The sequence below is a fragment of the Homo sapiens genome, chromosome 15, assembly GCF_000001405.40.
Source record: "Homo sapiens chromosome 15, GRCh38.p14 Primary Assembly".
Lineage (NCBI taxonomy): Eukaryota > Metazoa > Chordata > Mammalia > Primates > Hominidae > Homo > Homo sapiens.
The window spans coordinates 27,239,707-27,266,731 of NC_000015.10; the positions used below are offsets into that span (position 1 = coordinate 27,239,707).

General features: G+C 43.6%; 1 protein-coding gene across 2 annotated transcripts in view, besides 1 other annotated feature; it reads left to right on the plus strand.

Annotated features, from left to right (window-relative positions):
• GABRG3 (gamma-aminobutyric acid type A receptor subunit gamma3) overlaps nucleotides 1–27,025 on the plus strand; it is a 570,804-nt gene that overhangs the window by 268,526 nt on the left and 275,253 nt on the right. The window lies entirely within an intron of this gene.
• Nucleotides 14,887–15,391: an enhancer, noted in NCBI's record as "H3K4me1 hESC enhancer chr15:27499740-27500244 (GRCh37/hg19 assembly coordinates)". NCBI's record gives its function as "activates a minimal SCP1, AML or CMV promoter by ChIP-STARR-seq in naive H9 embryonic stem cells {active_cell/tissue: H9 hESC(naive)}" and the evidence as "EXISTENCE:reporter gene assay evidence [ECO:0000049][PMID:30033119]".

The window sequence follows — 27,025 nt, forward strand, 5'->3', positions numbered from 1 at the left end:
CTAAAGGATGAAAAATTTTCCCATCTGCTTAAATATATTGGTTTCTGCCATTTTTCTAAAAATGTATTCTCAGTTATCCTAAAAAGTAAATGATAGTCGACAGCCATTTATAAATTCCTCTAATATAAGAATTGTCATTGCCTTAAGCTTTCACAGCAGTTATCTAAGATCTCTTCACATTATAAACCAGTACTAATTTATATGCTTGGACCTCCAGCTAATTGTATTATGATAAATTACCATATCCTTATTATAATACTAGTAATGATTGGTTATGCAGCGGATGTTAAATTCAGTCATTTAGTACTGATGCTTTAAAACATTTATGAAAATGCCTAATTAATTAGTGTCATCAATTACTTAGTAATTTCCCTGAATTTTAAACTTCAGTATGGCAGCCTAGACAAACCCACTGGGATCTCTCACTTGCTCTATTAAATGATCATCGTGACTCTCTTTCTGAGGCCCCCTCAATGTTGTTAAGATCATTCTATAATTTTAAAAAATGAACTAGACTCAGCTCATTATCTTGCTATAGTGAAAGCAGCAGGTGTGGTCCTGAGAGCAAAGGGCAGAGTTGGGGTACACACGTGAGCGCTCAGAACCCTGGAGGTGGGAGCTAGTCCACAGTGCTGGAGGCTAAGAAGACCAGTTAGAGAAGGTAGGAGCCTTGCTTGCCGACTCAGTGAGGCATCATATCGATTTCTGCAAATGACGACTCCATCCAAGTTGTTGATTACATGATTTGGGGAAGTTACATCACAATTAGTTAATATGTTATAAGTCTCATACCATTTCATTAAATGTGCATAAGAACAATGAAATGATTTTGCTTTCCTTTGAATTACCAAAATAAATCATTTACAATATTTATTACATTTTTCCTAATGTTAAAATATAACAGGGAATTATAACTTAATTTTATCCACAAAGAACAACAAAGCAGCTGTTTAAATGCATTAATAGGAGTCTAAGCTTAGATACTGGATACTTTTCAGATAGAACCCTGACTTTAACATTTTTTCGTTTAGATCTGATCAATAACTTTTCACAGAGACTTAAGTGTATTTTCTATTATTATGATAAAATAATGTGTGAAATGCAGGTTTCAACACTTAACTGAACGTGATCAGTTGATACCATTGTGTGTCCCCAGGATCATGATGTTTGTTTTTAATTCATTTATTTTAGACCCTGAATCTTCTTCTCAAATAAAATTTCACATTTCATATGGAATCCTGATAAAAATGGAAATGTTCTTACTGAAGTTGAAACAAGATAAAGCCCTACCATCTCCATCAACCCATGCCTCCCTTCCTGCCACCCTCAACAACCTCTTAGATAATTCCAGATTATCTCAAGCATCCATAGGAAAGGTTGTGACAATAAGTGTTTTAACACACAGTAAAAATGATTGGATTAGATCTTCCTGAAGAGGCAACTATGAATTATGTCTTCTAAAGTCTTTTCAAGGTCAACAGATTTTCACATACTATATGGTACCCGAGGTCACAACAGGTCATTGGTCATGAGGTGTTTGTGTCAGTGTGAGTGTGAGGGAATGGGAAACCTGTATCTCTCCATGGAGTAAAAGTTAGTGGCAGCATTATTTTCTTTGTTTCCTCCTGTATTCTTACCTTTTTAATTGACCAAGTTTAGACATTGGGCAACAGTTTCTAGAACTGTTATACAAACCAGTAAAGGACTTACAGCAGCAATGGCCTTATTTCCATCCTTATTTTGGGTAAAAGAGTGTGACTCCTTTCTAGGAAGTATGCTATTTGTGTGGTGGTGAATGTCACACTTCCTGGAGCAACAGGTTTTCAGCACACGCTCACATTTAGCATGCAAACCAGGCATTCAGTGACAGGACTGTGTTGTCATTAAGACTGTTTGGATGCTGCATCTAAAAATTCACTTTCCATTTAAATGTTTCTCTTTCATGCACTATTTAATTTCTGACACACATCAGCCGCTATTCTAGTGCATAGTTAGTAGTCCACAAACATCCTATAATTAAATTGAACATCTGTCTTTTCCAAGGTGAATAATTCAGGTGAGCCAGATTTCTTCTCACGCTATGTCTCTTTCACTGTCATATGACATTATTGACTTTGTGTTCTTTTAGTTTTTCTCATAAAAGGTTCACTTTTGACAAGAGTTAAAACTAGATTCAATATTACTGTATGTGAATTCTGTATATAAGTTAAGAATTGAATTTGACAAATAGTAACAGAGACTGAATATCAGTGGCTTAACCATACAAGTGGTTATTCTTCCAGAGGATGTTCAGCTGATATGACAGCTTCATTAAAACCACTGGAACCCAGGTTTCTCCCTCAGAGCTCTGCTGTGTCCCGAATTGCTTCCATCCTCCAGCACGAGATGCCTGGTTTGCCTGGCCCAACTGCTGCACCAGCATTTCAAACAGCAGGAATGAGGAAGGGTGTGAGAATGACTCACAGAAATGCTATACAGTAAGCAATCTTTTTAGCAACAGCTCAGATGTGTGGCTGCACCAAGCTGCAGAGGTGGCTGGGAGATTCTGTTCTCTAAGCTGGACATGTTTTATAAGAGTTCCCTTATAAGGATTCAGGGGTTAATGAGAGGCAACCAGGTGTCTCTACCATGCTGTGACATTAGTTTAGTTGCTCTGGGCACAGAATAGTTATTTTTAAAATCTTTGAGTATATGTGATTAAGACAGGTTGTCTCTAACCAAATTATTAATTAACTAGGGACAATCCAGTGAGGTCTTGCCTGAGTGGTCCCTAATTTACATAGAAATTAAAAGTTACTCATATTACTTTGATATTTTTAAAAAATGAGCTTGACATCTCATTTCCTCTGAAAGAATTCATTGCTAATACTTCCCAATCAGAACAAAGTTACTTCTAGAATCCAATGTATTTATCAAACCCATGCTCAATTTACGTTCTATTCAGTTGAAACTGAGAGTAGGTATGTGTTAAGTCTTGATTTGACAGAGTAGGATGAAGAATAGTGCAGTTCGGGCCAGCATTTGCTAAAGAGTGGAGAAAGAGTCTCAACAGAAGAATGCATAGGTGACAAATATTTAATTTGGGGTAATTTGCTGTTTGTTAACTATGAGATTATTCTAAACACTTAAAATAGAGCCATTTCTTCATGTCTCTCAGAGAGATTGGCACATAAATATTGGTTGGGTTATAAATATTAATTGAAAGAATCAATGAATGAATTGAAGCTCTTAGGACATATTTAATTTATTTGTGACTATGTTCGGATTTTTCCTCAACATCCATTAGTAAGAGACAGTGCAGCTGCATAAATCCAAGGTGGGGTGTATGGTCAGAGTCACCATAGATGATTACGACCCGTAGCGTTTTGATCTCTGATAGGAGTTACAGACTTCAGTAGCCAATCAGGTCAACTTCACAAATATCTTCTGCCTCTAGTGATAAAGAACACTCATAATACAACCCCCTTCTTATAATCACTAGAAAAATAAAATGCTAGGTAAGAGGCAGGGTGTGTGTTTTCCATGTAGATGCAAGAAGGAAGACACTCTAATGTTACCATCGTGAACGCTGTGAAAATAACACCCGAAAGAAAACAAGCAAATGTTATGTTTGATTGGGAACTTGCTGTATCAAGGGGTCAGCCAATCTCACTTGCATTTGGCAGAGACTCAAATGTAGGCAGGGGATGGGGAAGAAAGAAGGCATATCTTCAGGCACACCTGAACACATCATGCTTCAGGTATACCCTGCTTGCAGGGGACGCTGGAGGCAAACGGAAGAGGGCATTCCCGTGGGATTGGTTAGGGGGCATATTTGGCTTCCTGGGGTTGTTCTTAAATTGGAAGCAAATGCAAAAATGATGGAAGCTGGCAGTTATTGACCAAGTTGAGAATATTTTGGGCTGACTGTTTGCAGAGTTTGTGGTTTTGCCTCCTGGGCTGGTTGCTGCAAACGTTGTTGCTCAGAGTTCTGTCTTTCTATATGGTTTGGCCATTGTCTATTTGCATATTCATTTTGTTAATACCAATTCAACATCAGTTAATACTAATAAGGTTTAAAGGGCCTTAAAATGCATCTTCTTAAAATGCATGGCAGAAAATTTTAAGAAAAAGGACCCCAATCATGGTTTTTCCAGTAAATGGAAGTTTTTTTCAACTTTACGCACTCAGTGTTTATTTGTTGTTTCTACTTGTTTATTTGTTTTGGCTTTGCTTAATCTGAAATTGATCCATGGGGTTAAGGAAAGTAGAAAAGCATTTAAAATATTTACTAAGTATAGGGTGTGCAAATACTGGTTCCTGGTCACTGTGGAAAGATTTAGAGGGAGTAGAAGACATCATCTCTTAGCCTGCTTGGAGATGAAGAGCATATGGATGTGAAGACATTTAAGAGGTAAGGTTGAAAATATAGCTTCTCCTATCCACCAACCATCTTTTTTAAGCATCATGAGGCTAGGCTGTGTACCAGGGCTTGGAAAATGAAAATGAAAGAGAGGTGCTCACTGAGCTGTGGGAGTTGTGGTTTACATATGGAATGAAATATGTTAACAGGTCTATTAACCGCCCACAGAGTCAGCACCATAGCAAGGTATGGGCGAGGATGGGCAGAGGGCAGAGGTCCCAGGAGACTTACTGCAAAGAAGGGGTAAAAAGGCAACAGAGCCTTGCCTGGTGAGCATGCTGGGAGCATCTCCCCCAGGAGGTGCTGAGGTTCAGGACATCTTCAGAACCACACAGCGCTTAGCTAACAGAGAACATATCATGCCCCATCATGTAACATGGCTTCAACCTAGATAGGTCTGTTGCGTTTACTGCATTTGATGCTTGTTTAACTTGCTGCACATGTGTATTGAATATCTGCAGTATTTTTGAATTACAATATCATTTGAATAAAAATCCCTTTTAAATAAATATTTAAATCTTAGCTGGGCATTGTGGTTGTGGCGTGTTCCTGTAGTCCCAGCTACTCAGGAGGCTGAGGTGGGAGGATCGCTTGAGCCCAGGAGTTTGAGGCTACAGTGAGCTGTGATTGTGCCACTGCCCTCCAGTCTGGCACCTGAGTGAGACCCTGTCTCAAAATTAATTAAATTAAATTAAAATATTTACATAAAATTATTTCCTTAATTTTTTTCTTTTAAAGGAGGGTTATTTTTCTTTTTAAATTATTTGTTTTGAAAATTAAAATTTCATTTTTAAAATTTAGCAACAGTGTGTATGGGGTGGTCATGGCTGGTGTAGGTTTTTAAAAATTTCCACGGGCTCCTTGCTCCTGAAGAAGTGAGTGAAAGTTTGTGGGGGTTTCTGCCTTCTGCAGACATCTCACGGGTCGTGTGGATGAGGTGATAGTGCTGGACCCTCCTCCTTAGTCCTGTGGGATGTCATACAGGGATGCATTGCTTTGACTGATGGAGCCCAGTCCCACAGAGGAGAACTGCCCTCCTCTGCTGCGGTGTGGGAGAAGGGGAGGTGAGGCATAGCCAGGCCTTGGAAGGTGACGATTCTGGGCAGGTAGCAGGTGCCAGGCAGAGTGAGTGACTGAAAAAGCTGGTGAAACAACCCAGCCGTTTGGAAACACCAGATTTTTCAAGGGGCCTGCTTTCTCACTTACAAAAGACCTCATAGGGCAGTGTGGATTTGATGAAATAAGACTGATAAAAGTTGTAACATGAATGTCTAGTACTTAATTAATTTTAGATAAATGGTATGAGTTATATGAGAGCAAATATATTGAGTTGTTGAAATTATTGAGAATCATTTAGCTAAAAATTAGATTTTGCTAAAATCTGTCTTCAAAAATCAGCCAAAATATGTGTTGGATATTGTGTTAGTCTGTTTTGCACTGCTATTAAGGAATACCTGAGACTGGATAATGTATAAAGAAAATAGGCTGGGCATGGTGGCTCACACCTGTAATCCCAGCACTTTGGGAGGCTGAGGCAGGTGAATTACAACGTCAGGAGTTCGAAACCAGCCTGGCCAACATGGTGAAACCCTGTCTCTACTAAAACCACAAAAAATTAGCTGGGCATGGTGGCTGGTGCCTGTAATCCCAGCTACTCGGGAGGCTGAGGCAGGAGAATCGCTTGAACCTGGGAGGCGGAGGTTGCAGTGCACTCCAGCCTGGGTGACAGTGCGAGACTCCATCTCAAAAACAAAAACAGAAACAAAAAGGAAAACAGGTTTATTTGGCTCACGGTTCTGTAGGTTGTACAAGGGCGACACCAGCATCTGCTTCTGGTCAGGACCTCAGGAAGCACTTAATCTTGGTAGAGGTGAAGGGGGAGCAGATGAATCTCATGGCAAGAAAGGGAGCAAGAGAGACGCCATGCTCTTTTAAACAGCCAGCTGCCACGTGGACTCATCACTGCCAGGCACTCATGAGGGATCTGCCCCACGACCCAAACACCTCCCGCCAGGCCTCGTCTCCAACACTGCGGATCATATTTCAACATGAGATTTGGAGGAGGCAGATATCCAAACCATATTCGATCTCCAGGAACCTGATGACATGTGGATGCAGTCTCTTTCTCTCTTTCTTTTTAAAATAAAATAAATATATAAATGTAAATATATTTAGGAAACTTTTAATCCCAAGACAATATGGTATATTCTTTACATGGAGGAAACAAGTTGGACTAGAAGGGAGAATGTTGCTGAATCATGTGGTCTTTTTATGAATAATTACTTTCTACATATATACTTATTCCATTTCCAAATGGAAGCAATGTGCAAAGATAAATAGATAGGTCTAGTATAAGGTGGTTTTCATTCTCTAAAGGTTACGTATCATTTTGTTACGAATGTATAAGACATAACATAAAACATTATCTACAAAACTTTTCTTTTAAGGAAAGTACCCAGAAAACCTTTCTTAGCTTAAATTTTTTTTTATGTTGGCTTTAAGTAATATCAAATTTGGGCAAATGTTATAGTTAAGGGATAACTCTGGCTCCTAACACTAGGATTTCTAATCTAGCATCAGTAGTTGCCTTGAATTAAAATAACCACAGACCTATTTGGATAAATATTGTGGTTATCATGATCTGATTATCAAGCAGTAACTTGCGAGGACCTGCCATGGAAGAAAATTTCTCCTGTTTGTATAAATATTGAAAGGCAGCACCATAACAAAAACAGTGTGACCTGAATGGAAGAACACGTTAAGTAGCGTTGTGATTTGCAAATGTTTCTTGTGCTTGATGATTGCGTGTGTTGCATGTGTGTTCATATTTGAATAAATGTACACATGTACATACTCCTATCTTTTTATTTTTATAAACAGGGTTCCTCTCTTTCACCCAGGCTGAAGTGCAGTGGCACAATCTGGGTGCAAGCAATTCTCCTTTCTCAGCTTCCCGAGTAACTGGGACTGCAGGTGTGCACCACCATGCTGAGCTAATTTTTAAATTTGTATGTAGAGATGGTATCTCACTATGTTCCCCAGGCTGGTCTCAAACTCCTGGCCTCAAGCAGTCCTCCCACTTTGGCCTCCCAAAGTGCTGAGATTATAGGCATGAGCCACCCTGCCTTGCCCACTCATCTTTAAAACCCCCTCATAGAGACTCTTCTCCTTGTGAGTCCTTGCCCCTCTAACCCTCGGGCTTAGTGCTCCTGCCACTCTCTTCCAGCCCCAGCTCTGCAAAGCCCCTCTCAGGTGGCCTTGCTTGACCACATTTTCTCTCCTGGTGCCTCCAAGAACAGTCATCTGTTTCCTAGACCTGACCTGGTGTGGCTGCAGCCACACTGTCCTCTGTAACATTTCTAGATGCCATCTGATGCAGAACACCCCTGAATGGCATGCTTATTCTGAGAGATCTTCTCAAAATTCTACCCCAACTCTACCAGGAAAGGAAAGGCTGTGTATTTTAAGAGATAGAAAGGAGCCCTCACTGCTGTAACATGGTGTATTAGTCCGTTTTCACGCTGCTGGTAAAGACGTACTGGAGACTAGGCAAATTAAAAAAGAAAGAGGTTTATTGGAATTACGGTCTCACATGGCTGGGGAGGCCTCACAATCATGGCAGAGGGTGAAAGGCACATTTCACATGGTGGCAGCAAGAGAGAGAATGAGAGCAAAGTAAAACAAGATTCCCCTTATCAAACCATCAGATCTCATGAGACTTATTCACTACCATGAGAACAGTATGGGGGAAACTGCCCCCATGATTCAATTATCTCCCACTGGGTCCCTTTCACAACACATGGGAATTATGGGAGCCACAATTGAAGATGAGATTTGGGTGGGGACACAGAGCCAAACCATAACGCATGACTACACATAAGTAGATGTCCAATACCAGACATGCAGAGAGAAGGTAGAGACAGGAGTGACTCCACTGTCACTGTCTGTGTTTCTACTTATTTTTCCTCCCATTAACTCTACAGAACACTTCTTCAGATAATTGGCCAAGGAGTTTCCACCTCCTTATTTTCTAACTCTTATTGTGGCTGTGTGGTCCTCTGGACTGGTGGCCTGTCTTGCCTGCAGTTTCTTTCACACGTGGAAGTGCTGCTCTAGATTCTGTTTTAATCTCACTGCTTTCAAAAGGACCTCGCGCCCTCCTAGGAGCAGGTGCCCTGGAAGGGGCTTCTCTGATAACCCCATTTTGGTAGATCCCTGTTCCTAGGGCTCACAGCCACTTGTTTGTTTCCAGTGTGGCTGATGGGTCCACAGGGCTGTCTGCCTCTGTTGACCTCTGGCCTCCCACTAGTCCTGTGGCTACATGGTCAGAGCTGAGTATACCATGTACAATGATTGGATTACTTATTACTCAGCCACTGGTATAAAAAGGCCAGGCAAAGAACTACAGTAAAATTCCAGGACACAGCACACGCATCTCAGACACAAAATATAAGTATTTTCCAACATCCCATATTGGCAGAAGTTAAATGCTCTGTCAGCCTGTGTACCTGCCCTGTACTGCCCACAGAGGTCTAGCATGTGGGTCTTGTCACCTTCTTGGTACTAAGAATGCCTTAAAATATTCAAATCAGTGATCTGTAAAGTTTTCATGATCCCAGCAATGACCTAAAAATGGAAGAGTTTTAGGTGAGAAGGAAAACACACACACACACACACACACACACACACACACACAGAGAGAGAGAGAGAGAGAGAGAGAGAGAGAGACAGAGAGAAGCTGCTGTGGCTCTTGAAGAGGGCAGGGGCTGTGGAAGCTGTCACCTGGGGCTGTACCATGAACGGGGGATTCTTTTAACGCGAAGCCATCGGCGACTGGCCCCGGAGGCTGAGGACCCCGAGACAGGCCCTGCCCTGGGCGGATGTCAAGCAAGGGAGACCCACTGTTTGCCCCGAGGAGAAAGGACACAGAGTTTAGTCAAATGGTCGGAATAACTAGCGACAATGCATACAAAGGAATATTCAACACGCGACCTGGGTGATGTGGGCTGTTGAAGTGACTGGACTCAGGTGATGCGGCTGCGGGAGGTGGTGAGCGATGCTGGAAGCTGCGTCCCGGCCACCCAGATACCCTGGGAGTGCGTGGCGCTCCGGGGAGGCTGCTCCTCCGCGTGGCCAGGAACAGGCCAAGGACCAAAACCAGATGACAGCTGGCATGAAACCGCGGGGCTGGGCACATCCCCTGTTCCTCACATGCATCCCAGAAGCCCCCAGATTTCCTCCGCAATCCCGGCTGCGTGCCCTTCCAGGTCGGGGGCCCCCACCTCACCTGGGCCTTGCAGAGCAGCATGACCCCTGAGTCCCAAATGAGACCATCTCTGTTTTATCAATGACAGATAAAGTACCTTCTTAAATTTTCAGAGTACTGTCGCAGCCAGATGGGCAGCTGCCCCCGGTTACGACATCTGCTTCATAAGGTTCTGTGCTCACCACTGGATGCACTGTAGCTTTTCTTGTTTTCTTGGCCCCTGGTTGAATTAAGTAGGACCTGCTGTGCCCTGAGCCCCTCAACAGTGTGACAGAGTGTGAGTTCAGCCATGCAGAAGGGATGAGTGAGTAAATGTATTAAAGAGAGAATGTGATTTAAAAAGATATCACCTTATGAAAATCATTCCAATTCCTTCAACCCAAGCTGCAAAACCTTTTACCAGACACCGTGGGGGAGGAATGGCAAAAAGAAATCAATGATACTTCACTTAGCTACATCCAGAAGGAAGTTTCTTCATAATTCAATTAGGTGCATTAAGATAATTACATTATCATAATGTGTGGAGGTGGAGTGGGTTGGGTGTGCAGGGGCAGGAAAGAGCTGGCAGCCTCAGTTCAGGGCAGCCTGGAGAAGGCACTGAAGTCTATGGGGTGGGGCTGAGTCAGCACGCACAGGTGGGAGGGGAATGTCAGCATTGCGTCTGTGTGTCCTCCATCCTCCTGTCTGTTCTTTTCCCTCCTCTCCAAAGCCCCCTCACCAGCCCCCACCAGGTGCTCTGTCGCCTCTGCTGGACTGGCCAGCCACGTGTGAGTTCAGGAACTGTGATGCCTGTGCACCTGCCACACTCCCCTCACCGAAACCCCTAGAGGAGCACCATCAGCTCCTCCCTTGAAAGCTCCTCCCTGCTACCTGGAGAGTAAGCTCTGATCACCTCCAGACCCATGCTGTCCAGCGCCACATGCTAGTCACAGGAGGCTGCTTACATTTAATCAAGTTAAAGGTAAATAAAGTCAAGCATTCACTTCCTCAGCAGCACTGGCTGCATTCCAAGTGCTAACCAGTCATGTGTTTTATGTGCACATTTCTAGCCTTGCAGGAAGCGCTGCTTTTTTTTGAAAAGGAGTCTCCCTCTGTTGTCCAGGCTGGAGTGGTGCGATCTTGGCTCACTGCAACCTCTGCCTCCTGGGCTCAAGCGATTCTCCTGCCTCAGCCTCCCTAGTAGCTGAGATTATAGTCGTGTGCCACCATGCCCAGCTAATTTTTGTATTTCTAGTAGAGACGGGGTTTCACCATGTTGGCCAGGCTAGTCCCGAACTCCTGACCTCAAGTGATCCGCCCACCTTGGCCTCCCAAAGTGCTGGGATCACAGGCGTGAGCCACCGCGACTAGCCTCAGGAAGCACTACTTTAGACAGTGCCCGTGACAAGAGTTAAATATCTCACACATTTTCTTAGTCAATTAAGTCGGAGGTGGGAAGAGTGCAGAGGCTGAGGCCACCAGGGTGGCAAGGAGAGGACGTGGACGGCAGCTGCTCCTCCTGGGCAGCACCCGCTGGGTGCAGCGCTTCTCTGTGTTGTTCCTTCCTCCCTGTCTTGCCTTCAGGAGGCCCAGGGAGAACTGGATCTTCAGCCACACTTTACAAACTGCTCGCCATCACAGTGCAGTCCACACTTGCAGGTCGCAGAGAACACACCACTGATTTTCCCACGCTGATAGCTCTGACGTGAATCGACTGCCACGCCTGCTGCCTGGCTCATTCTATTATCCGTGGACTAGTGACTGGGAAGGTCAACCTTGTTGTTCTGATTCTGCTTGGCTGTTTTCGAAAGTTCCCCTAAGAGAGAATGTCTTTCCTCGGCCCAGATTTCCTCTGCTGTGAGGTCTTGAACTTAGTTCCTGCCTCTCTTGTCCTCAGCGGTGCCTGTTTCATTTCAGCTTCTGCTTCCAGATCCTTCCTTCACAACAGATCCCAAGCAACAGACACCTGATTTCCAAGGTGACGGTCAGCCAGGCTTTTCCCAGACAGGTTGGAAGAAGGGAAACACTCCTTCAGATATCTTCTGCTCAGAGACGCAAAGGGAGCCCAGGAAACTTGGACAGTGTAGAATACATGGAGAGTCCAATCTCCCTTGGACACACGTATTTGCATTTTTGTTTTATTTCATTGGCCATTTTATTTACAAAGTGTATTCTTCATACATATAAGTAGTACCATTTTGACTTGAAATCTACAGATGAATTACAGTGCATTTTAAAGAAATCCTAATCAAATATTAAATATTATGTAGTGCACCCTAAGTTCATTTGAATGGGCTTTTCTTCACAATGCAAGCATTTGGGTGAGGTTTTGGTTTATTTTCTTCTAAAAAAAGTAACTGTGTAGCCTTTATGTCTACACAGTGCACAAGTAGAGTTGGTTCTGTAGGGGGAAATGCAGGTTCACCTGAGGGCACGCAGGGTTCAGATGGAAAACAAAGCCAGGACAGAGGGGGCTGGAGGCTTTCTCTGCTGGGTCCTACCCCCTGTCTCTGCCTCTGCCGCCTCTGATAGCCCGGGCCTGCGTCCTTGCCACAGTCAGATGTGGCTCCTCAGCATAGCTGTGCAGTAAGAGCCCTGTGAGCCTGCGGGGACTTACCTGCTGGGCCCTGGGGGCTGAAATGATGCATGCAGATTCAGTGCAGATGTGCCCGCTGGAAAAAGATGGCCCTGAGGGGATCTGTCATTATTTGTTAAAATGAGACTTGACATCTCCCTCACCCTCCCTAGTGCCTGACTCAGCTTTTTGTGAAATCGGGGGACACGAGGGTGATTGTTTGTGAAATCGGGGGACATAAGGATGATGCCTGAGAGACGGGGGGTGGCCGTGGGCTGGCCTGGCCTCCTCACCAGCCCTCCTTCTCACCGATGTGTCCCTCTGTGTCCATGATGCCCTGTCCGAGGAGTTGCAGTCAGAACTGGCCCCCGGTGTCTGGCTCCCGAGGTCCTCCCCTGCTCCCAGACCCCAGGCTGGGCAGTCCTTCTGTGTCAGCACTACCTCCCCATCTCTAAGCAGGACGTCCTGTATGTGGGTGGCTGTGTGGATGCCATGCCAGGAGCCACACAATGTCCTGTGAAGGTTCAAGGCTCAGCATAGAGGAGACCAGATTGTCCAGGTCGGTCAGAACATGATGCATCCGCCCCACCCCAGCCAGGGGATACTAGCGCCGTCTGTTAAACCCGCTGGTCCTCTGAGGAATTTCTACAGCTTCCTTAAACCTCAGGTTTCTGAATTACAGCAGAAATTGAAGACATCTGTGGGGCCTCCTGGGGCCGACTTCCCTTTTGGCTGGGAATTTGACTTAGTGAGAGAGGGCACCTCCCACCTGCAGGTCTGACCCCAGGCAGAATATTGTATCTGGAAGAGATTTCTGAGATAATTCAACCTCATCATCTTATGGATAAAGAAACTCAGGATCCAAAAGGTCCGTGTCTGGAGGATTTTGTTATAAATAATTGCACAGCACACTGTCTAGTGATTTAAAATTCTAAACTGTAATCCATTTGTTAGTCTCCAACACCGGCTTTGTTGTAATCTGGCCATGTGTCTTCAAGGGCTGTGACAGCTTACTTGAGGTCCATTTGCTTTGACCAAAAAAGAGCCTTGGCCCCGACACCAGCCCAGGTCTCAGATGGTTTTGAGGTCACTGCTCCGGGCTGCGCCTTGCACGTTTAGACACCACGCCGAATCGATGCTGCCTATGGCAGGCTCACAGAACGAACACGGAACAGTTCTGGGTGTCACTCATGTAGTCACCGGGCTGCTGGACCCACTGCTGGAGTGTGTGTCTGTCTCTCAGGAAGGGACTCCCTAAGAAGGCACCGCAAAGGCTGGACGCATCAAATCATAGGCCCATCTTTTTCACATGGGAGGGTTTGGGTGTTTAGGGAATGGATTGACTCATGCAAGAATGGCCAGAGCAGCTCCACACCCCAGCCCTGGGATGCTGGGAGGGGCCTGAGGCTGGATTGCAGGGTCATGGTGGCTGCCACCCCTTTCCTGTCCCCTCTCCTTCTGCCTTAGCGTGGAGGCTGCTTGCTCTTCCCTCCCCAAGCTGTCCACTCAGCTGGCCCATTTGTCTCCTTATGGCTTTGAGAATCTGACTGCCACAGGAGAACTCCCCACCTGGGGAAATTCACCTGAGGGTTTCCTGTCCCTGGGAGTATTGATGCCTTCTACTGTAAGTTATGAAATGCATTTTAAAGGCAAGAGCCTCCCTCTGGCTTAAGCATCCTCTGGGAAGCTGGACACAGGGGCAGAGCGGCTGCATCAGGCTCTGAGAGTTCAGGCGCCCACAGCCCTTTCCCATTCCGCAGGAGCTTCCCTCGATGGAAAAGGCAGAATTCTCTTCTTGATCTCCCTGGCAAGTCGGGGGCTCAGGCCTTCATCTGCCACTGTGCCAGCCGGGTTGTCTTTTGCAATATAATGGAATGGGAAGGAATAATTTCCATTTTACCATGAGCTGAGTTTTGGTTCCTTTATTTTCAGCTTCTCGCAGTAGCTCAATTTCACATTAAGGAGAGGAATGAATGACTGGCTGGTGATATTTTAAATTTCCTGGTTTAAATAGAGTCATCCTCAGAGGTTATGTCGCTTTCCAATTGACATTTCTTCCCCATAACGAAAGAAGTGACCTGATCTCATGCTTGAAATTAATTGTCCAAATTACTGACTATAATAACCTTGCTTTGAAGAGTCTCTGAGTTTCTTTGGAGAACTTGTTTTTCTGTAGTTTTTGGATTCTTCAAATAGCTGCAGAAACCCAGCCCTGGAATGCACTGGCGACAATGCAGGTCCCTGGCCTTCAGCGGCTCCACACACTAACAGGCGCCCCTGGAGATATGCCAGGTGGGGATGCAGGCTGGGGAGGAAAGAACCAGGCTGCGAGGTTTCCAGAGGGAGGGAGGCAGGGCCAGGGAGAGGCCAGGGACTCTCGAGAAGGCGCAGGGGAGAGATGCCGTCAGATGGAGCATGTCACACAGGAGGGTTCTCGCCTGTTCTTCTGAGTACGCTACTGTGTTGTTTAGTTAAGGGAGTTGCATTTTCTAGTTTGTATGGATCTTCTCTGTGGTTGCTTGTCTTAGTCTTTTGGGCTGCAGTAACAACATACTACAAATGGGGTATCTTATACACAACAGAAACTCATCTCTCACAGTTTTGGAAGCAGGGAAGTGCAAGATCAAGGTGCTGGCAGATTCAGTGCGTGATGAGGGCCCACCTCCTGGTTTATAGGTGGCCGTTTTCTCACTCTAACCTCACATGGTGGAAAGGACAAGGCCGCTCTCAGGGGCCTCTTTCATAAGAGTGCAGATCCCATTTGTGAGAGCTCCCAAAGGCCCTTCCTTCTTCTAAAATAATCACTTTGGGAGATAGATTTCAATGTATGAATTTGGGGGGGACACAAACACCCAGGTCATAGCACTGCTCTGTGGAAATAGAGCACAGTTGGGTAGGCACAAAGTCAGGGAGCAGGGAGACAAATAGTTAGAGCTTTATTGAGAGAGAGAGAGACAGACACAGACAGACAGACAGACATGGAATGAGAGGTGAGGTGCCTGGGGTGCTCTGAGACAGAATTGGGAGGTGCAACCACAGCCGGCCCTGATACCCCCTGCACCAGATGCCTCCCACGGCCACTCTGGGCTCTGATCCCTCTGCTCAGGCCTTTGCAGTTTGTCCAGGCCCAGCCCCTGCAAAGATCCTGGCTCTACATAGACTCCTTCCTGCTCCCAGGGCTGCCTGACAGCGGCTGCCTCCTGTGGGCTTCACTGTTGATGCCAAGCAGGCAACAAGTTGCACTCCTCCCCACAGGGCTCATCCTCAGGCAAACCTGGGGTGGCGGGAGCAGGAGCCTGTGGATCCACCCTTCTGCCTCTTACCCCCTGGGCTGGATTCCTCCTCGAGAATGTCCTGTGAAATCAAGAGTCCCAAGCTCCAAACACCAAGGGTGGTACAGTCAGTGCCGTGGGATGATTCTCTAACAGACTTTCCTGGCAGGTAGAACCCTTGCCACGTGCCAATTCTATAGGACCCAGACCATGGCAGTGATCAGAGTTGTTAGGATTCTCAGATCTTGTTTCACTCTTAGTTTACTCAGGGACAAAACGGAACTAAATAGGTGTTTGGGTGCTGCCTGTTCTCACAGTTACCATTCTGTTTCAGACCATTCCTTTTACCGATATCTTTTCAAATGGCAGCTTGTATTCCATTTTCATCTTTCCTTTTTTTTTGGAAATGTATTGATGATCTGTCCTCACTCTTTTAAATCCTGGTACTTATTCAGCTCCAGGAAGCACCTTATGTATTTTATCACATGCATCCTCCCAGACCTTGGAAATGCTGATTTCTGAACTTCAGCTCACAGGAGCAGGGGATGATACATCTGCTGAGGGCAGAGCCAGGCTGGTAGCCAGGTCTGCTGCCTTCAGGGTGGGCAGGTTCTGGGGATGCACAGCACCTTTCTTCCAAATTGGCTTTGAAGATGCCAAAGCTCCCTAGAAACGGGAAGAGCATGTGTTTAGTGACTTTTTACCCATTGTTAGTGAGTGTGGAAGGCAGAATAATGACCCTCTCTCTCCACCAAAGATGTTCACTTCTTAATTCCCAGAACCTGTGTCTATGTTATTTTACATGGCAAAAGAGATTTTGCAAATGTGATTGAGTTATGGATTTTGGGATGGGGAGGTTATACTGGATTCTTCACGTGGGCCCAATCCAATCACCAGGGTCTTTGTAAGAGGGAGGCAAGAGGGTCAGAGTAGATGTGACCTAGAAAGAAAGGACAGAGGGGCCGGGTGTGGTGGCTCATGCCTGTAATCCCAGCACTTTGGGAGGCCGAGGCGGGCGGATCAGGAGGTCAGGAGATCAAGACCATCCTGGCTAACATGGTGAAACCCGTCTCTACTAAAAATACAAAAAATTAGCCGGGTGCGATGGAGGGCGCCTGTAGGCCCAGCTACTTGGGAGGCTGAGGCAGGAGAATGGCGTGAACCCGGGAGGCAGTGCTTGCAGTGAGCCGAGATGGCGCCACTGCACTCCAGCCTGGGCGACAGAGCAAGACTCCGTCTCAAAAAAAAAAAAAAAGAAAACAAACCCAAATTTTAGGCTCTTATGTTAAGGGTAGGGGGGGCGGGGAGAAGAGAAGGGGGCTGGGATCAAGATATGACCGATGACCTCAGACATTTCGGGGTGCCAGCAAGGTTCTGAGGAGGGTGGGAACTCCTTTGTCCTTGGTCAGGACAGTCTTTGCTTCTATAAATCATTAACAAAACGTGGTCAGTTGTTTACATACGTCTTCTTTAACCCCAGGTTAGTTTTAAAAACCACATGATTCCTGGTTTTGCCTGTTACCTCAGTGCTCTAAGATTATCCTATCCTATGCACAGGAATGGGTAAAGACCCCTTAAACAAAAATGGAGTGAGTTATGTTAGTTCTTTTGCTGTTCCACTGCTACACTTTGAAGGGCCCTTAGGTCCATGTCATATTGTGAATACTGCTGCAAAGCACGGGACTGCAGACGTCTCCTGGACATACTGATGTCATTTCTTTGGACAGATACCCAGCAGTGGGATTGCTGGATCATTTGGCAGTTCAATTTTTGATTTTGTGAGGAACCTCCATGCTGTTTTTTTCTAATGGCTATACTAATTTACATTCCCATCAACAATGCACTAGGGTTCCCTTTTTACCACATCCTTGCCAAGAATTATCTTTTGTCATTTTGATCATAATCATTCTAACTGTGAAGTGATGCCTCGTTGTGGTTTTAATTTGCATTTCTTCGATGATTAGTGGTATGGATCATTTTTTAATAAACCTGTTGGCCATTTTTTTTTTGAGAGGTGTCTCTTTAGGTCCTTTGTCCTTTTTAAAATCAGTTTATTTTCTTGCTATTGAATTGGGTTCCTTGTATGTTTAGGGTATTAATCCCTTATCGAATGTACAATTTGCAAATATTTTCCCACATTCTATAGGTTGTCTCTTTGTTGATTGTATCCTTTAGTTGGGTGCAGTCTCATTTTTCTGGTTTTGCCTTTATTGTCTGTGCTTTTGGGATCATTTTCAAAAAAATCACTGCCCAGACCAATGTCATGGAGCTTTTTCCCTGTTTTCTCCTAGAAGTTCTATAGTTTCAGGTTTTACATTGAAGTCTTTAAGATATTTCTGAGTTGATTTTCATTTATAGTATAAGGGTCCATCTAGTTTTATTCTTTGCATGGGGATATTTAGTTTTCCCAGCACCATTTATTGAAGAAGCTGTACCTACCATTTCCAGTTCTGGAAAACTGAGAGGATTTTGTAATTTTAAAAAATTTTAGACACATGGTTTTGCTCTGTTGCCCAGGCTGGGGTGCAGTGGCATGATCGTAGCTCACTGCAGGGCTCCAGCCTCAGCCTCCCAAGTAGCTGGGACTATGTGCATGCACCACCACACGTGGCTATTTTTTTTTTTTTTAACTTTTTATAGAGATGAGGTCCTGCTATGTTCCTCAGACTTGTCTTGAACTCCTGGGCTCCAGTGATCCTCCCACCTCTGCCTCTCAAAGTGTTATAGACGTGAGCCTTGTGCCCAGCGTGAGGTCTTTCTTATTTTAGTTAATAAAGTTATAAGGCTTCATAGTTCAAAAGGGAAAATGCTATTTATATTTAAAGAACAATCAAGTGATTTGTGGATTCCCCACAGCTTCCTTGGAAACGCCCTGCTGTCCTTGCTAATGGGTAATGACGGGCTGAGGGGTGGCCATGGCCTCACGAGGGCATTGTAAGGGAAAATTGCAATTTCTGAGGGCAGCCTAAGTGGGGAGGTGACCTCAGGCACCCATGGTTAGTGGGTGCAAACAGGATTAGGCATATAAAGCTATACCTTATTACCTTATTTCAGTATCATGGTAATTTTAATGCCCAACATAAACAATAGTAATGAAAGCATGATATTTTAAAAAGTGCCTGCACCATTCACCTCTGTCTCTCCTCCCCCTCTAGTTTCCAGGTTCACCTTGTTCGCAGCCTGAGAAATGGCTCCTCTGTAACTCCTGGTTCTGAGTGACCCATGCAGCATGCGGGACCATTTTCCAGAGTCTCTGCACCCTCTGCATAGCTGAGTGTGAGCCGTGGGGCACACACTGCACCCTCCTGGCCTTCTCGGGTTACACTGCCAGCCTGATGCTTCCTTTGGCTTGCTCTGAGACCAAAGCAAAAGAAGACTCTTTTGCTTAGCACTTTCTTTGCCCTTTTATTTCTAGTTGACATGTAATTACTGTACATATTTACAGGATACAGAGTGATATTCCCATACATGCATACAGTATGCAATGATCGAATCAGGGTAATTAGCATATCCACCACCTCAAATATTTATCATATCTTTGTAGTAGGAACATTCACAATCCTCTCTTCCAGCTTTTTGAAAATGTACAGTAAGTTATAGTTAACCGTATTCACCCTACAGTGCTGCGGAACACTGGAACTCATTCCTCTTATCTGGCCATAGTTTTGTATCCAATAGCCAACCTCTTCTCTCCGCAGCCTCCTCCAACACGCCTTCCCAGCCTCTAATACTCAGTTTACATCCTACTTCTGTGAGCTCACATTTCCTTTTAGCCTCCACATTTACATGAAAACATGTGGTATTTATCTGAGCCTGACATTTTGCTTAACATAATGAACTCCAGACTCATCCATGTTGCTGCAAATGATAGGGTTTTATTCTTTTTTATGGCTGAATGGTATTCCATGTATACACCACATTTTCTTTATTCGTCTGTTTGGTCACTTAAGTTGATTCTGTCTTGACTATTGTGAATAGTGCTGCAGTAACCATGGGGCTGCAGTATCTCTTTGATGTACTGATTTCCCTTCCTTTGGTTAAAGGAAGTAGTGGCATTGCTGGGTCATGTGGTGACTACTCAGCCTATCAGGAGGCTTTAGCTTCCTGACATCTGCCACTCACTCCCCTGCCAGTTTGGAGGTGCAGCTTTGTGCCATTGGGCTCCGTCCTTCTCTGTCTTGGGGATGTCCTTTGGTAGGGTGAGCAGAGCGGAGGCTTTCTGCAGAGCCTCCTTGTTTCTACTTATTGTAGTCAGGACATAGCTTTACAGGCTCTCCTGTTGTCTCAAAGCCTTGAGAATGTGTCTACTTGAGATGCAAAGAAATCATTATTTCCTTACTTTTACTAATTCCAGGGCAGCAAGGTCCTACTCTCTTAGAGTTCCCAGCTCCTCCACACCCTTCCATTGGTAGTAAGAGTTAAGTTGAGAAGAGCTCTTGGCCTTCTGGGGGTTAACTTGTCAGTAAGTCTCTTCACTTAGCAGATAGAGAGGGAAGGTGCATATTCATCCCTCTTTCCACCATCCTTTCCATTGAATGAGGTATTAAATGGCACTTCATTTACAATGGAGACAAGATATTATGTGAAATATCTTGGAAGGTGGAAGGCAGGTGGAGTAGGGAATCCACATATGGGGAAGATCAAACGCCAAATTCAATGGCTAGAAAAACAGAAATTTGTACCACAACACCTGTCTGTGAAATTTTGCGACCCCAGGGATCAAATTCAGCTGTGAATGGAAAGAGAATTAGATAGATTGAGAATCTTCCTCAGTGACACTGGATGTTGCAAGACAAAGGGCCTGGGAAGATGTGTTGAAACTTCTCCAGAAAAATAATGTTGTGTCCTAATTTCCATCCTCGGGACTCCTGTCTATCATGTGTTGTCCTAGTCTGCCCGGGCTGCTATAACTAAGTACCACAGACAGTGGGGCTTAAACAATGGAAATGTATTTTCTCCATTCTGGAGGCTGGGAATCCAGGATCAATGTGTGGGCAGGGCTGGTTTCCCCTGAGGCCTCTCTCCTTGGCTTGCAGATGCTGCTTGCTGTGTCCTCACATGGCCTTTTCTTACTCAGGCAGTCCCCATCTATTTTTTCGAATGAGGACATCAGTCCTGTTGGATTAGGGCCCACTCTTACTACCTCATTTAACCTTAATCACCTTGTTAAAGGCTCTATCTCTAAACACAGTCACATGGGGGCATAGGACTTCAGCGTATGAATTTTAGGGGACAAAATTCAGTCTATAACATGGTGCACGGTAAAATAAAGACACCTGTAAACAGTAGGTCTTTATCTGCGAGTTCTGCATTCCAAGGATTCAACCAATCGTAAATAAAAAATATTTAAATTGTGCTGGAGGATGTGCATAGGTTAGACGCAAACACCATGCCATTTTATCTCAGGGACTTGAGCATCTGTAGATTTTGGTGTCTGTGGGGTCCTGGAACCCATCCACCACATATACTGAGGGATGATTGTATGTTCAAGGACTCAGACAGTTGGCCTCCTTCCAGCAAAATGGCATGATAAATCAAATGTCAAGAAAGACACTGGATCCAGGAAACAGGAAGGCCAACATAGGGGCCTGATGAAGGGGCCCCAGGTGTTGCTGGGTGGCAGGCTGGAGAACCTGTCCTAATGAGCTGATGTGGTCGGGAGCAGGAGTGAGGCTCTGGGAAGAGGCAGGTGTGCACTGAGAGGTATGACACGGGGCAGCACAGGACAGAAAGAGGAAATCACGGGGAAACGCACAGGATGCATGGAAATACAAGGACACAATGGTATTCTACAGTAGTATTCTACCTGTTTTGTGGGTTTAAAAAAGTATACATTGCATAGTCACAATCATGATAATTATTTATTGATTTTCAACTTTAAAAACAAATACGCAAACTTTAATTATGTTTATAAATGACAGAAATTAGGATCTGAGGAATGGGAGGAAAGGATGGAAGCAAAGGTCAGCTTATTCTATTGCACTAGGAATCAAGGTGTCTCTAGAAGAAGAAAATGGTTGGAGGTAGATTATTTAAAGTTACAAAGGTAACCAATATAACTAATAGTCTTATATCCATATTGGGAAGACTGGTTTGATGTATTGGAGTCTAAAATTGATAAATCAAGATGTATTTTAATGAGAAGGTATTACCTAGAGATCTGCAGTTAACTGTCAGGACTGGAAAGAATGGAAAGAATGAATCTCTCCCCAGTCCCCCCAGTGCCACTGTCTCTGCTCAAGATGGAGGGATTCGGGTTGGTGAGATGGGCAGGGGTGCTGTTAATCCCCATCACACACCCTTACGTACTACAGTATTCATATATATACATATATATATGTATATATATATTTTTAATATATGTGTATGTAATTGAATATGAAGGTGTGTAATTAAATATGTAAAATATTTTTAAAACATATGAAATATATTTGATATTCATCAAACTGACATTTTTGTTGACAAAGACTTATGAGTAAAAACTATCCCTTTCCTTTCTTCTTCATATAAACCTTCCCTGGCGTATTTCCATCTGTGGGAGCAACTTCTTACCTTGCAAGATTATTGAAAAGTTTATTTCAACCCAAACAAAGGATGCTTTTACATTGTTACACTTCTATTAGAATAAAAATGCCTCCACTCTCTATATTTATATCTGAGAGTTTAGGCCAATAATAATGTTTCTTCTGTTATTTTCCCTGTAAGCCTCTGGGTTCCATTTTGGCTGCATCTTATGTATGCCCAAAACCTCTTCACTAAATGGTTTTACTCTTTATGGTTTCTTTCTCCCTCTCTTCCAACGAATCCCCAAGGAAAGATTCCATCATGCCTTCCAGCCAGCCATGCTCTCTCAAATTCTTTCCCTTCTAGACTTCCTTCATTAGAGCAGAAGTCAATGATAAACATCCTGCATCTGGGCATCCTTGCTAAGGCGATGGCAGGAGACCATGTGTCCCTGAAGGAGAAGGAAAGGTCACGTGCACCAGGCAAGGGGAGCTGAGTGCCTCGGTCTTTAATGGGCCCTCCCGCGCATTTGCGTCTGTTTGCTGTTTTGAGGTCTAAGCTGGAGGTAGTCTGTGGACTCTTCTACCCAGTAATCCTGGGTGTCTTTAAACAAGATCCCTCTCCACATTGCTGATGGTAAGAGTGCTATGTCCAAAGCAAGAATGCAACAGGATGTGTAGAGCTCATCACCACTGAGGGCCTTAGTGATTCCTTTCTCCATCTCTACTTCCCTTCTTCAGTGAACAGTTTCTTCTCAGGACCCAGTTCTGCAGCGTCAGAGGTTGATACCTGGGTCACCTTTCTCATTGCCGCCCCTACCCCATCTGAGTATTGAGGAAGCTCACACATTTCCGTCACATGTTTGTCATTCTTACTCATTTGAAGTGGGACGATGTCCTTACCTGGTGTAGATATTGTCTTCGACTATTGGAGAACTTTGTAGGGAAGCGTATGTAGAATCAGAAAACAATTACATGACTTAGAAGAAATCTATTGAATTAAGGTTCTTTTTAAAATTTGCAAATGATTTTGAGAAAATGGAGTCCACGTAATTATATGCCTTGTCTCTGTTTCTTTATTCTGCTTAGTGCCACTTTCCGCACAAAATAAATACATTTTTTTAAATCAGCAAATAATTTTGAGATAACAGAGAGTGCACTAACTTATATGTTTCCTCTTTCTTTCTTCACCATGCCTAGTGCTATTTTCTGCAAGAGAGAAACACATATTTTCTCCACTGATTACTATATTGATTTGGCACAGGTGAGAGCTACTGGTTTTGAATCAACCGGACTCTCATTCCCATTGTAGCCCAGGATAAATATTAAATAAATTCCACTTTGGAAAGGGAACCATCAAAACCCACTTAGGTCAATGCCAGGGGCTGTCACAGATAATGCAGAACGCTAGTGCCGCATCAGCAGTCATGACAAGGTGACAGTGACCGTAAACTTCTCGGAAAGAAATCGATGAGAAATTTACCACTAGGGCTTATACGGAGAAACAAAGGTGATTTAAATTTAGCACAGAAATGTGGCGTTACAGCCAGAATCTTGTTTTCCAGAGTTTAGTGATCCATTGATCTCAACCCCTGTGGTCAGTCATCTGTAAACTGTTAAGTCCTGAGAAAATTAACCTGCAATATGTAATGCTGTTTTCTGCTGAAGTCACCAGGTCCTAATTTCCTCTAGCTGTTCCTTCTATGACAGAAACGACTGATACTAGGATATTTCCCCACATTAAGAGGTTTGAACTTGTCAAACACTTTCTCAAACAAGCAGATGAGACCTGTGATTAGCCATTTTAGGAGCAGATAGGAGCGTCCGATGCACAGATGGAACCCAAAATATTTAAAACCTTTGTTTTCTTTCCATCTATCTGTGGGAAAATTTTTAAACTTCAATTTATAAACCCCAAATGCTATGCCTGACTCATCTCTGCAAAGTTAATGGTATTCAGTTATGATTTCTTACACACATATTTGTGAATTCTTTTTATGTGTGGGGTCATACTGCAGGCTGAGACAGTGCATATGGTCCCATGTTTAGACAACCACCGGACGGACTGTCGCTTAATAAATTGCAGTGGTAAAACGCCTGTAGTCCCCGCTGCTCCGGAGGCTGAGGCAGGAGAATGGCGTGAACCTGGGAGGCGGAGCTTGTAGTGAGCCGAGATCGCGCCACTGCACTCCAGCCTGGGCGAAAGAGCGAGACTCTGTCAAAAAAAAAAAAAAAGAAAAAGAAAAAAAAGAAAAGTGCTGGAAAAGAGAAGCACAGGATGCTTTGAGAACATATACCGGGGAGACGTGCCAGATATAGTAGGGGATGGGAAGGGCCGCTCCCTTGAGCTGAGAGACTGTTGGGCAAGGGAGGGGCACAGAGGAGAGGGCAGGATTCAAATCAGAAGTAACAGCAGAGGGAGGATCTAGAAGCCAGAAGAAACAGACAGCGGCCTCTGGAGAAACTGGAGAAATGGTTAGAGAGTGTGAGATTAGCCCAAATACTAAACATAAAATAAAAGTACCATATCCCTTAGCATCCATCCTTTTCAAAAAATAAAAATAAAAAAAAATCAAACTCTAAAAATCCACCTAACCAAATTAGTCCTAAAAACCCAATTACCCTAAACTAAATGCTTCCCCACTGCCTTATTAAAAATCAAAACTGCCCCTCAAAAATATTAGTTTATCCCCTTATAAAATACTATATGAACTGCCTTATTTACATTGTACTACTAATGTCCCTACATTTAAAACCAAACATCAGTTCCTCAAAACCTATAGTCTACTTTCTTTTCTCTTAAAACAAAGTATCCTAACACAAACACTACCCCTAAAGCTCCCAGCACATCAACACCAACCTAAAAATCACATCCTCGTCAAAAAATTTATAAAAAACCCTCAAACCAGCTTAAAAAAAAAAAAAACCTTATGAATACTCCTAACTACTAAAACTACAATCCAAACAACAACAAAAAAGTAAACTCACCACACCTAAGTCAAAAAACCACCACCATCACCTTCAAAATTATAAGCCATTATTCCAAAGTCAAGCCCTACCAAATTAAAACAAAAAAATCTTAATTCTTAATTCTTTTATACCTTTTATATCGTCTCTCCCTCTTTCCTCACTCTATTACTAATTCACTATTAATATAACTGAATCTAACTCACCCCAAACCATTATTCTTAATACTTATCTTTTATACCTTATAAAAATTTAAAAAAACAAAAACAACCAACTTCTTCAAATAAATATCTCTACCCTATTCCTCTAATTTCTACAATTAACCCTAGTTCTCACCATTATAATCATCTACAACCAAAACACCGTTCCTTTACTCCCACAGCCTAACAACCTTATAATAATTAAAACTACATCCTTTAAACCACCCCATACCAAAGTTAAACCTCTACAAAAAAGTTTACATCAATCTAAAGCCCCTCCTCCATTTTACCAAAAAACCCACTCTCCCTAATTGCCAATCTCACCAATACAAACCTATCCTTATTTCTATTACTACCTCTACCTCCGCTGACCCTAAGCCTGCCCCCAGTCACTTCTATAGTATAAAAGCCAATGTCAGTTGAAAATGAAACGCAAAAACAAGTCATATTAAAAATAAAAACTTCTACTCTCCTTTGTTCTAAATACTCTCATAACAACCAGCCGTACAAAAAACACCCGTCTATGCAAAAATAAATTTATTTTAATAAAAATCCTTTATCTAAATACTCATTTTTCCTTAAAACTCTAAGCCTTATTTCTAACAGACAGCAAAGGGTGGGTACCTGAGATACAGCAATAGAGACAGGTGGAAGACAACCCAGGTTCCCTGGGCTTCACATCGGAGCGAAGGGAAGCGCCGAAAGCATTAGGCAGGGAGTTACATGAACAGACACAGGTCTTCAAGGACCATGCTGGTCCCAACTAGGAAACATGATTTGAGCGAGCACTTCCATTCCAGCTACCAGTCCTTTATCAAGTATGGACGTTGCAAATACTTTCTCTCAGTCTGCAGCTTGCCTTTTCATTCTCTCAGCTGTGTCTTTTAAAAGCAGAAGTTTTCAATTTTGATGAAGTCCAGTTTATCAATTGTTTTCTTTTCATGGATCATGCTTTTGGTGTTTTATCTAAAAACTCATCACCAAATGCAAGGTCAAGAAGATTTTCTCCTGGTTTTTTTTTTTTTTTGAGAGTGACCTTCGCTCTTGTTGCTTAGGCTGGAGTGCAATGGCAGGATCTCGGCTCACTGCAACATCCACCTCCCAGGTTCAAGCAATTCTCCTGCCTCAGCCTCTCAAGTAGCTGGGATTACAGGCATGTGCCACCATGCCTGGCTAATTTTATATTTTTAGAAGAGATGAGTTTTCTCCATGTTGGTCAGGCTGGTCTTGAACTGCCGACCTCAGGTGATCTGCCCGCCTCAGCCTCCCAAAGTGCTGGGATTACAGGCGTGAGCCATCACACCTGGACCTGATTTTTTTTTTCTGGAAGTTTTAGTTTTCAATTTTACATTTACATCAATCATTCATTTTGAGATAATATTTGTATGCAATATGAAGTATGGATTGGAATTCTTTTTTTTTCTGCTTATGGATATCCCATCTTTCAGTACTTTATGCTGAAGATTATCTTCTGCATTGGTTTTTACCTTTGTCAAAAAATTGGTTTTATGGACTTTGTTCTGTTCCATCGATCAATCTGTTTGTCTTTATCACACTGTCTGGATTACTGTAGCTTTCTAATAAACCTTGAAATCAGATTTTGATCCTGCACATTTGTTCTTCTCTTTCAAAGTTACTTTGACTGTTTTAGGTGCTTTGCATTCCTACAAAAATTTTAGAAATAGCCTGTCAATTTCTAAAAAATGTCCTGCTGGGATTTTGATTAGGAATGCATCAAATCTATCATTTGGGAGAATTAGCTCTCAATATTGAGTCTTCTGACATACAAACACAGTCTATTCCTCCATTTATTCCAGTCTTTTAAAATTTCTCCCAGTAATGCTATGTGGTTTCAATGTAC